Consider the following 13,260-nt stretch of genomic DNA (forward strand, 5'->3'; position numbering starts at 1 on the left):
GCTAGTAAATGAGCTCTGGATGGACTGAGGAGTCTCTCTTGAATCTCAGAACCCAGGAACCAGTTTTCAGGTCCTCAGTGCTTTCGAAGTGAAAGAATAATTAAGGTAAAAGCAGAAAAGGCTACTTAACACTTCTCTGCATGCCCCATTTATGGAATTTTTGTTAAAGAACAAAAATAGAATTGCATCAAACTGCAAGATGGATTTTCTTTCCTCATCTGCCTTTTCTTCTATGTAGGCAGTTTCTTCTTGACAGAAACCATGAATTCATTTCTAACAAGCACTGTGGAATCTCTGTCAGTTCGGCCACTTCAGAAATTAGTAACAGGAAAGGAATGTGCAAAAATGAAAACAGTTGCGCTGTGTCGTGGGTGCTGTTTTCTTCTTTTGAATTTTCTCAAAATGTTGCTTCATCATCTTTTCAATAATTAGATGCAATAGATATCAAGGAAGAAATGTTTATGATGAGACCCTCATTGTGGCCCATTTGCAGATACACTTGCTCATTATCTAGGAAGGAGATGGAGCCTGAGTTTAAGCAAATCCATAATTCGAGAACTCCAAAGTTAGATTTTAAAACCTTAGGGCAATCCATAATGAGTTTACAATGAAATGAAATAGAGTTTTATGGAGTTTAAAACAACTAATTGTTTGGGAGCTGCTTTCATTCATTTGAAGTTTTGTCCAATTATTGCCATTGCATTTCACTCCTTGAATTTATATTTTTCCCAGAGTTAGGGGGTTCTTTGGAATAGTAAGAGGATGTGCCAGCCCATTTGCCAATAAGATGAATCCTACATGTTTGCCTTAAACCTATACTATACCTGCAAAACTCAACCTTGAACCTACCCGTATGAATTTGAGACTGTATTGTATCCTTTAAAAAAAGTAGAGAGACCCATGATCCTACCCGCAACTGGTCATTTCCATGTGATTAGAAAAGCATAATGGTGATACCTAAATGACGAGTTAACAGGTGCAGCACACCAACATGGCACATGTATACACATGTAACAAACCTGCACGTTGTGCACATGTACCCTAGAACTTAAAGTATAATAATAATAAATAAATAAGTAAGAAAAGCATAATGGTGTAGGGGTGAAACCAGAATGGTTTTTATACAGACCCCAGCCACCACCACGTTTGTGTGATCTTAGGCAAACGCCTTAAGCTCTCCAAGCCTCATTTTCCAGTATTTCTACAATGGGATAACAATACGCTTAATTGACTGGATTGTTGTGAAGACTGGATGATCATAAATGTGAAGTATGTAGGATAATTCAGCAAGGCATTCTGTACCTTATCTGGCAACTCAGGGCTTAAGTTCTGGTATTTACAGACTTTAAAATTTCATGCTTTTCCTCAATTATTTGGGAATCAAGCAAAGAGAAGGTTAGAAGTAAAATATTTAGATGATTGCCCTAATTCTTCACTTTACGCACAGAGGAAGAAAGTTTCCACTGTCACTCTGGATGTCCTTGGGACACCATGACATGCAATCAACATCAGCTGTGCTGGCTGATAATTCAGAGGCTATGATACCCTTGTTTATGGCACCTTCAGTTCCAAAGACATTTTTACTTGACTAATTCACTGTTTCATACCAAGCAGGGGATGAAGAAGAAATCATTCAAACTAAATGCTACTTTGAAGTTCAGTTACTTGGCTGGAAAACAGCAGATAAATTGATAATTGCAAATGGTCTGAAATTTGAATAATTTCTTTTCCACTTCAACTAAATCTATTGAGCACACCCAAATAATTTAAAAGTGCTGAAAATAAGCAGTATTGGGGATTAATGAAGGCAATATATTCACTGTTGCATTTATTATTTCTAAATTATAGCACTACCACTTGAAGGAATGCAATGAAGTTGAAATGAAGCAATTTTGTTGTTAAATATTGTCATTTAGAATAAAACGCATGTGACTGTAGAACTGAAATCACACAGGCTGTTGCTGTTTACTTTTCATACTCATTTTCAAGTGAATTTTTAGAAAAAGTAATAACAAGAAAGTCCTGTGGTTCAATGACACCACGAAGGATTTACCAGACTTTGCTTAGAATGGGAGGCCCGGCCAGGGGCAGTGGCTCACACCTGTAATCCCAGCACTTTGGGAGGCCGAGGTGGGCAGATCACAAGGTCAGGAGATCGAGACCATCCTGGCCAACATGGTGAAAACCCGTCTCTACTAAAATACAAAAAATTAGCTGGGCATGGTGGTGCGCACCTGTAGTCGCAGCTACTCAGGAGGCTGAGGCAGGGGAATCATTTGAAACCAGGAGGCGGAGATTGCAGTGAGCCAATATCACGCCACTGCATTCCAGCCTGGCAACAGAGCAAGACTCCATCTCAAAAAAAAAAAAAAAAAAAAAACCCAAAAAAAAACAAAAAAACAATGGGAGGCCCAAGGAGGTAGAGATGGGTACTCAGACCCTGGCTGCTCCTCTGGGGGTTCAGCTAGAAGTGGCTCTTCTTGCTTTTAGATTGGCTCTAACATAGTACCTCAAAGAACTTAGTGGGGTCATGTGAAACTTTGGTTTTGAAGTCAGAGGGACCCAGGCATCAGGAGGTTCTTTAGGGGCACAGACCTGTCCTCATAGAGCTTATTTTCTATTGGGGGAGATTAAAAATTAAAATATTTTACGTCAGATGATGACGGGTGTTATGGGAGGAAAATGGGCTTTTTGGCTGTGTGGCTTTGGGCAAATTACTTATCCTCTCTGAGCTTCAAGGCTCTTTTAAGAACTACAGATAACTTATGCAAGGGCACACAGTTCCTGAGGGGCAGAAGTGATAACTGCGATTGTTTTTATTACTCTTATTTTCACTATTATTTTTCCTCCATTTTGTTAGAAATGAAAACCAACAAAATTAGGGTTGCCAGATAAAACACAGGATGCCCAGTTAAATTTAAATTTCAGAAAAACAATGAATAATTTCTTAGCATACATATGTCCCATACAATATGTGGAATATACTTAAACTAAAAAAAATCATTTATTATTTATCTGAAATTCAAATTTAACCAGGCATTCTGTATCCTCTTCCCTCCCCAAAATATAGCAACCCTGAGGGAAAAAGCCCCCTCAGGGAAATCTGTTGAAATTAAGATCCTTCTGAGTCAAGTTCTCCTTCCCTGCTAATTTCTCCACAACTTTGATGTTTTCTTTATCTTTTAAAACAAATTATGTGTGGCCAGTTGCGGTGGCTTACGCCTGTAATCCCAGCACTTTGGAAGACCAAGGTAGGTGGATCACTTGAGACCAATAGTTTGAGACCAGCCTGGCCAACATGGTGAAACACTGTCTCTACTACAAAAAAATAAGTAAATAAATACAAAAATTAGCCAGGTGTGGTGGTGTGCACCTGTAATCCCAGCTACTGGGGAAGCTGAGACATGAGAATCGCTTGAATACAGGAGGCAGAGGTTGCAGTGCGCCAGGATCATGCCACTGCACTCCAGCCTGGGTGACGGAGTGAGACTCTGTCTCAAAGGAAAAGAAAAAGAAAAGAAAAAAAGAAAACAAAAAACAAATTGTGTGTAATAACAAATTCTTTATTAAAGAGAAAGGTGCACAGTCCTAGTATCTTCAGGGCAGCTCTGTATTCCTTAGAGCAGAGTTCTGTGCATGTGGGGCCACCAGGAATACAACTTCATCTGTGAAACAGGATGCAAAGTAACAACAGTGATCTACCTGTAGGGCATCATGGATGGCATGTGCTCAAGGGCGTGGAAACTCAGTGTGGAGCTCGGCACAAGGTAAGTGCACAAAACAGCAAAATAATTGTTATTATTCACTCATCCATTCCACAAACATTGACTGAGTTCCTCCTATATGATGGGTACTGTTTGAGGCACAGTGAACAACTTCCATTGTCTGGAGGTTCCACACAGCATAGACCCTACTGTCATAGAACTTACTTTCTAATGTCAGAGACAAATAAAATGCTGTACATCAGATGATATTAAGTACTATGGAAGGCAAAAAGGGAAGGTGGGGATAGAGTGTGACAGGAAGTTATTCTCAGCTGGGTGGTTGCAGAAGAAAGGCAGCACCAATGAATGACATTCGAGCAGAATCCTCAATGAAGGTAGACAGCAAGCCACACAGATATCTGGGAGAGGAACATTCAAGGAGGCAACAGCAAAAGCAAAGGCCCTAATACAGGTAAATGTTGATATGTTGGAGGGAAATCATTATTGATGAGATGGACGAGGAAATCCGTCACAACAAGCCAGTTTACCTGGAAAGACTAGTCTTATATAGACCTCAGGCTCTCATCTTCAACCCATTTGCAACCCCTGCTTGCAAAGCTTGATGAATCCCTGGTATGTGTCTGAAAAAGTGCCACACTTTTGAAGCCTGTGCTTAGGAGGAGCAAACACTGTCCCAGCTGCTGCCACTGGGTATCTACACAGTAGGCAATGTTCCCACAGCCACCTGGATGTGGAACTACACATAGAACCTTGCAATGGGAAGACAGCTTCCAGCTCATCACACCCACTTCCATTTTTGCTTTCTATTCAGCTATTTTTCTTTTCTTAGCTTTCTAAGCCTTGTTACATTGAATAATCACCACAAAATTCTGTCCCTTCAAGTGGCTAGTATAGAAGCCGACCTCTGGCACCTCTTTTTCCTAGTCATCATGCAGTGCATGTAAGTTGGTGACATCACCTTCAGGAGAAGTCTAGGTTATTTAAAATCTTTGAAAAATGCAGCTTGACTAGTTTTTTAGTACCTTCAAACCATCCTATCTTTAGAGCTCTTGAAAGTGCTTCCAAGAATAGAGCAGAATTATTTAAAATAATCAAATTCCTTTTAACATGCCAGTCCTATATTAAAGTGGTCCTTGGATTTAGTAATTGTTTCTCACTCTTAAGTAGAATAAACATTTCTTTCATTTACATTTCTTTCTACTTTTCTCCTATATAAAATATAAAGATACCCAGTAAATTAATGTGATAGGATCTATACATTCAACATTGTAAAGAACTTATTTGTAAAGTTCTTTTTATTCCTCTCAGTAAATATTTTATCACTGTGGTGGTGGGTAAAATAGATACTAGGACATTGTTCCTGCTGCTGCACCTACCAGAATGAACCCTGATATGTCCAGGATACTGAGGCATAAAAAATTGCCTCTGATAGAGCTTCTGAAAATTTGGTAGGTGCAGTTGAAGACCTCGGAACAATGGTTCCTTGAACTTTCTGCACAGGACATGTTTATTCCTTTTTGACTTTTTTTGAGACAAAATCTCACTTGATGCCCAGGCTGGGTGTAGTGCAGTGGAGCAATTACAGCTCACTGCAGCCTCAACCTCCCGGGCTCAGGTGATCCTCCCACCTCAGCCTCCTAACTGGGACTACAGGCACACACTGGCATGACCGGCTAATTTTTCGTATTTTTTTGTAGGGATGAGGCTTCGTTATATTGTCCAGCCTGGCCTTTTTGACGTTTATCAAAATGTGTGAGCAATTTCCAGTGCTACTGACAACACAGGAGCCCATAAAGGGGAAAAAGCCATTCAGGCTAGAAGTTCACTACATTGAATCCTTTAACCTATTAAGAAGTATGTATTGTAAGACAAAGAGTGTACTGTAAGTTATGTTAACTAGCTAAGTCATCCTTTAGGAAGGTGAAACCATTTGCTAAGATCCCTACCCCACGTGCTGACCAAGGATTTCCATTTCCATGACAAATGGCCACCCTCTCTTATCTCCTTGGATGAAGATCCCTGGCTACAGCTTCTATCACCCTTGGATCTGGTTATAACCCTCAGAACGAAAGTCTTTAAAAAAAAGGAAAAGATTCTCAGCCTGACACGCTGGTTTTGTCTGAGAGATTTGGCTTACAAAAATAGTGCTATATACTGACTGCATGCCCACTTTATAGAAGTGACTATTGTTAATTAAGCACCAACTTCTCATTGTAATTATCTACCTTAAAAAGAATTCTGCCTGAAGGCGGAAGGGCTCCCGAACATTTTATTTTGTGACATTGAAGATAAATCCCAACCTCCCAAAAGTTTTTTCCTTCCCACAACAAAAAATAGGATGTAGAACATTAAAATGACAACAATAACAATCCCCCTTCCACTCCCCAAAATAACCTGGAGAGGAAAACAGCAGCTTCCTATAAACAAACACCATGAAAACTTAATGTATTTATTAGTAAAGAAAAATAAACCTTCCTCTCCATGCTGGTCAGTTATCCCGTTCATTTCTTAATAGTCCTATATTCATAAAAGGCCGAAGGACTCTGCCCTTGACAAGCTAACTGAGCAGGAAAAGGCAATCATGTGTACAAGGCTGTCACCCACCCCACAAATTATGATAAAATATACCTCAGGATTGCAAAAAAGAGTTGCATATCTCCAGTGACATCCACAGTAGTACGTTTAAGGATTTGAATAGAACAGCAATTTATTTTGCACTAACATGTTTTATGGTTATCATCAAGCATTATGTCTTCAGAGACTGAAAGGTGATGTTTTTATGGACTCTGGCTCCTTGTTGCATTATCTTCACAGCTCAGAAATGATCTCTTGCTCTTTTTTTAGTTCCTCCTTCTCACCCACTACCTTTGCCCCTCCTTTAACAAAGCAGCGATTTTTGCAAAGAAAAGGGGAAAAAACAAAATAAATCCGCATTAGACAAAGGGCACAAATGAACAGATTTCCAACCCTGAATAGTTTCAGAATGAATGATTATCTGGCTAATTAGTGAAATAAATAATAATAATTGCCTGTCCCTCCTCATTAGAGCCCTTAATAGCAAATGGAACCCCAGTGCAGAGTGCCAGCAAGCTGGTTTCACAGCTCAGTGCTGAGTTGAGAAAAATAGACAGTCTGTATTGCAGATGTTCACATGCCAACCCTAAAACCAGAAAAGCCAGAAAAACTGGGGACTTCAGGATCTGTAAGGGAGATGGCTTGGGACATAGAGGGAATATTTCTGACTTCCTTCCATGCTTAAGAATTATGCTATGTTCTGGGCATCCAAGAAGTGAGCTAAGACCTATGAACATAGACCATGGACGCCAGAACACAGAAGAAGTTATTCTTATTGTTCAAAGTTTATCCAGTAGCAGCTAAGTTCTTAAAGTCCGATCCAATCCAACTGCAGCATTATTTATCTTGCTGCTTGTTAAACCCATGGGTTCCGGGCTCCCTCCCAGACCACCGACTCAGAAGCTCTGGGACTGGGCCCAAGGCCTGCATGCTCATCAGGATTACCGAGTGCTTCTTATGCCCCTGAAATTTGAGAACCTCTACTAGTCAACGGCTGGTGAAACTGGACAATGCTGTGAAATAAAGCATGTTTCGCCTGATGGAGAAGATGCTGTAGCAGGAAATCTCATGAGATCTGACCATCCTCTTGCAGAGATTTTTACCCTGGGGTTGAGCCACAACATCCTTATTGCCAGGGCAACTCTCAGTACCATCCTTGCCACAACATCTAAAATTAACATAAGACCTCCTTGCTGTTTTGATCCCTGGAGCCAGCCCAGCCAAACATATTACTCAACACTGAAGGCATTTGATTGGCTTCTAATGAGGCAGCAGATCAGCTTTTAGGGGTCTGTTCTCAGTGTGATGTATGAGTTAAGCTCCCGGTAATGTTAATCAGTTGGGAGTTCCCACTGCTCAGGCAACTGTCTTGTAAAGCTCTCACTACTTGACCGCCAACTTATCTTAGCCTATTCTTTCTGTTTTGAAGTCCACCAGTGTTCCGATGCCAGCAAGAATGTGAATAAAAAGACTGCCTTTAAACTTCTCCCACGTTCTGAATAAACCTCCTTTCAAGATGTCCTGAGGCTCCATCCACACTGTTCCCCACACCATGATACATTTACCCAGCCAAAGTGAGTAACTAGTAATTGATTCAACTATAATGCACTTAGCACTGAGGAGACAGGGGTGTTTCTTGAATTTGAAGAACTCAGAGTCTATCCTGGGAGGCAATCATAATACCCCCAGACCCACAAAACAGATTGGGTGGAGTCTCAAAGAAGAGGAGACACTCAAGAGGCAGAGGAATGATGCTGAGAGAAGATGTTTGGGAGAAGAGCATTTCAGCAAGGGAAGGATAGGCTTACACCTGGGGCCAACTTACCCAACAGGTTGCAACTTGCCTGAGCCTCCACCAGTAAGTGCCATGCCCAGGGGCCATGATTCTCTTAGGAGACCATAGAAATATTGTAGTTCTGATTTATTTTAAAGTCAGAAAAAAATGAATATATAATAATGAATCTAGCCTCATCTTTATACCAACACAGTCATAAAAAAAATGTATAGTCCTTTTTTAATAGATGAAGAGATCCATGAAGGCAAAAGTGCCTAGGGCCCTCAACAATCGTAATGCATCTGCACTCCCATGCTTACTGCAGCATTATTCACAGCAGCCAAGATTTGGAAGCAACCTAAGTGTCCATCAACAGATGAATGAATAAAGAAAATGTGGTACACATACACAATGGAATACTATTCAGCCATAAAAAAGAATGAGATCCCATCATTTGCAACAACATGGATAGAACTGGAGGACATTATGTTAAGTGAAATAAGCCAGACACAGAAAGATAAACTTCACATGTTCTCACTCATTTGTGGGAACTAAAAATTAAAGCAATTAAACTCATGGAAATAGTAGAATGATGATTACCAGACGCTAGGAAGGATAGTTGGGCGAAGGGAGAAGGTGAGGATGGTTAATGGATATAAAAACATAGTTAGATAGAAGGAATAAGATCTAGCATTTGATAGCACAACAGGGTGATTACAGTCAACAATAACTTATCGTACATGTTAAAGTAACCAAAAGTATAATTAGAATGTTTATAACACAATAAATGATAAATGCTTGAGGTGACGGATACCCCACTTACCCTGATATGATTATGCATTGTATGCCTGTAACAAAATATCTTACATACCCCATAAATACATACGCCTACTATGTACACATAAAAAACAAAGTAAAAAATATAATTCCCAATGTAAGTTGAAAAAACATATCTTAGATGTCTTTTGCTGTCATGGATAAAAGTCCATTTTCCTCCTACAATTAAACATTTATATTTTAAAAAGTCATAGTGCAGCCCCAGCTTATGCAAAGATACAAGTGAGTGTCTGGAAGTGCAAGTGACAATATTGAAAATATATGGAGCCTCACTCCGTAAGAGGTACTTTTCTACCAGTCCTGCAGGTATTAACCTCTGGATTCCTCACAACCCAGTGCAGTAGGCACAATTACCACCACCCCAACTTTACAGATAAATGAAGGCAGAAGAGGATAAAGCTCCCCAAAGCCATTCAGTCCTACAGATAACCAGGCCACATATCTGAGTACTATGGCTCTAAAATCTGCACACTTACACTCCATGTGGGTGTTCCCCAAATTGTCTAATTATTTGTGATGAGGGCCCATTTTCTTTATTTCCTATCAATCACAGACCAATATCTTTGTAAAATAAATAAATAAATAATAAATTGCCAGAAAAAGGAAATGCAAAAAGAGTACAAAAAACCAAGCCCAATTTTAAAAAATCAATTCAACAGACACAAAATTACATTCCAATAATTGTGCTTGACAATTGCAGCCATGTCAAATTTTTCTAAAATGTTCTCAGGGCTTATTCTCGATGTCTATTTTTACCTCACATCAGATGGGTAACAGCCTGCAGACCAGCCGGGGTCCTGGCCCACATGCTAGGCATGCTGCCCTGGCCAAAGGAGCTGCAGTTGGCTTTTGCAGTAGTGGAAGCAAGGAAGGGGGAAAAGGAAGAAAAATGCCACTTTGCCAAAATGTCAGTGAGAAGAACAAAGAAGGTGAGGATGGGAACTGAGTAAATTAGGATGTGTGCCTTTTCAACCAACCTGAGGTTGTGCTTTTGTGCCAAGCACCTGCCTATCACAGGCAGAGCTGGGGACCGTGGTGTCAGAGCCTCTATCCATGAAAGCCTCAAATTTTAGACTTTTGAGGTGATACATATGAGCACTGATGCAGACTCACGGGATCCAAAGTAGAACGTTCAACAACAAATGTAGAACTGTGACCCACGAACTGTCCACACTCCCAATGGTCCTCAATAAACTAATATTTTTAATTGAATCCTTCATTTGTCTTATAATTCATATAATGGCTACATTATAAAATTTTGTATCAAAAATTATGTATTGAATGTAAACATAACATATACCACAATTTTGCATTTTCTTTCTGTACTTTTCTTTGTATCATAAGTATCTTCCTGAACATGTAGGGGAAAATAGGATTTTGGTAAGCACAATCATATTTTAGACATCCCAAGAGACACACTGTATTAGATTCAAAAAAATCAGACTTTATGGTGAATTCTATTTCCTTGTCTGTAAAAGGAGAGCAATAACCTATAATAACCTGTAAAAGACTCTGAAAACCTTACTGTGATGTTTTTAAACCAGCGGTTGTAAGTAGTATTCTCTTTTGTTAATCCAAGCTTTCACACCAAGGTTTGTGAAAGATGCACCTCTATTTCTTGGTATAGCATTTAAGCCATGCGCTGTCTTCCATGTACATCTCAATCGGGAGATTGTAGGCTGGTAATTGTCCTAATATGAAAAGTAATCACTTCAAGGGCCTAAGGAAAGGAGTTTTGGGGTATTATTTAATTCAATCCCCTGCCTAGAAAATCTTAATATCTGGCTGAGTGCGGTGGCTCAAGCCTGTAATCCCAGCACTTTTGGAGGCTGAGGCAGGTGGATCACGAGCTCAGGAGATCGAGACCATCCTGGCTAACACGGTGAAACCCCGTCTCTACTAAAAATACAAAAAATTAGCCAGGTGTGGTGGCGGGCACCTGTAGCCCCAGCTACTCGGGAGGCTGAGGCAGGAGAATGGCGTGAACCCGGGAGGCGGAGCTTGCAATAAGTCAAGATGGCGCCACTGCACTCCAGCCTGGGTGACACAGCGAGACTCCGTCTCAAAAAACAAAAAAAAAACCAACCAAACAAACAAACAAAAAAAAAAAACCCAGAATAATCTTAATATCTGATCTTAATTCTACCACATTTTAATTCGTTCACTTACTTTCCATCAGAAATTTCCCCATTTGGTAATGGGGAAAGGAAATGAATCTTGCTCGTTTCCCACCGAAGGAGACGTGACCCCCTGAGATATAGAGGTTTAGAATTTCTTGTTAATGGCAAAATCGTGAACAGTGTTGTAACTCAGGCAGCTAGTCCACGATAGTCACTGTCCTGAGAGAAGAACAGCCTGCTCATAAAGAAGATAGAGCACATGAGCATCCTCCCAGAAATGGACCAACACAACCATTTTGATAATGCCAATATGGCGCCCCTAAGAAAGGAGTGGACCCCGCCCCTGGGAAGAACAGTAGCACCTCCTAAGAAGACAGAAACGCGTGTGTTCTCATCCTATCACCATGGAACCTGTGCAGCTTCCCAGGAGACTTGGAGACCTGTTATGCTGAGATAATAACTTCGCAGTGCTCTTCTAAGAGCTTTGCAGGTAACTACCTTATTTGATTCTCACAACAACCCTGAAATAGGTACTGTTGGTTGACAGAGAAACTGACGCGTTGTATTGGTGAGTAACTTTCTAGGAGTCACACAGCTACTTATTGGTGCTGCTGTGGTTTCAATCCGGCTGTTCAAATAAGTGTTGAATACAATGCATTATATTGATTTGACCCATATTCTTCCATGTAGAGGCTTTATTCCGCCCATTGGAGGGCTCTCTTTTTGAAGACTATCATCAGAAATTGAAATATAAGAGGCAGGGAAGCCAGTATTAGCAGTACTAAAAAAAATAGTTATAAAAAGCATGTACACAGTAAGAAACTTTTGCTATTATATTTACTTCTCTAACTGCAGTATTTTATTATACCTATAATTAAAGATGAGCAAAGGATCGCTCTGAGAGATTATATAGTTATTATAGTCACACAATTGATTTGGACTTGATTGGAGATCTTAACCCGCCACTTAAAAAGCTACATTGATGCTATTTCTAAGTCTCTGTTTTCTAACCACCATTCTTGTGGGTTGTCAGGGCAAACTATTTCTATCTGGTGCACACACTCTCTATTCCACCCCCTCATGAACAAATACAGTTTCTGTAGGTTTTCTTTACCCATCTCTTCTTTGTAACGCCTGAGGTCTAACATGCAAAATATTTAGACAGTTTAAAGCTTAGTTGCGGCACGGCGTGGTGGTTCATGCCTGTAATCCCAGCACTTTGGGAGGCCGAGGCGGGCGGATCACTTGAGGTCAGGAGACCAGCCTGGCCATCATGGTGAAACCCCATCTCTACTAAAAATACAGAAAAATTAGCCGGGCATGGTGCTGAGCACCTGTAATCCCAGCTATTTCGGGGGCTGAGGCAGGAGAATTGCTTGAACTCGGGAGGTGGAGGTTGCAGTGAGCCAAGATCACGTTATTGTACTCTAGCCTGGGCAACAAGACCGAGACTCCTTCTCAAAAAAAAAAAAAAAAAAAAAAAAAAAAAAAAAAAAAGCTTAGTTGGACATTTTAGGGTTGGGAAATACTCCCCTATCCCATGCAGCTCATTTCTCTGTGAATCAGGTAGTGAAAGGAGCTTCCCAAAAGGCACAGATGATTTGTATATGCTAAGCTTAAACCGAGGAACCCAACTCGTAGCACTAATAATTATTGCAATTTGTTGAGAATAACAATAGCTTCGTAAAGCCCAGTGTTTCCCTAAAGGGCAAGTATAATAGGCCTATAACTTCAAACGTGTAAGAATAATTTGTTATTCATGTTAATCCCCTCGCCATTGCCAGCCACATCAATCTTTTTCAAAAGGGGAGCACTGGAAAAACCACTGAAGTCTGAAGGGAAAAAATAAACATGTAAGGTGAACAGGAGCACACAGTAAAGCAACTCTGTGATTCTGCTGGTTGCTGCCAGGGACTCGTAATGTTTCATTAACGTTCACCCACCACCCCATACCCATTTGGCTCCAACTCTCAGTAAGGCAGGGATGTGAGCCAGGAGAAGAATACCACCATCAAGTCATTGCTGGCTATTCCTACGAGGATACTATTTTTCAAAATTTTTTGCCACCTGAGGCCCAGGCAAAATTACTGGCCCTTGTTTAAATCACTGCATTCTTTACTCATGTACAGGTCAGTTTCAACTCAGAAACAGTGCCTACTTTAAAAAATGTACACACACCCAAACAGCCACCCTTGTTTCCGGGACTTAGATTTCAAACCTACAGAAGTAT

At 40.4% G+C, this 13,260-nt stretch overlaps 1 long non-coding RNA gene across 1 annotated transcript in view; it reads left to right on the forward strand.

The window, feature by feature from the left end:
* Positions 1–11,343: 11,343 nt before the first annotated feature.
* LOC105370839 (uncharacterized) overlaps positions 11,344–13,260 on the forward strand; it is an 89,243-nt gene continuing 87,326 nt past the window's right edge. The window contains exon 1 of the long non-coding RNA XR_932310.3: positions 11,344–11,520. This is a non-coding gene — a long non-coding RNA (uncharacterized LOC105370839). The remainder of the gene's footprint in view (positions 11,521–13,260) is intronic.

This window comes from Homo sapiens, chromosome 15 (assembly GCF_000001405.40).
Source record: "Homo sapiens chromosome 15, GRCh38.p14 Primary Assembly".
Lineage (NCBI taxonomy): Eukaryota > Metazoa > Chordata > Mammalia > Primates > Hominidae > Homo > Homo sapiens.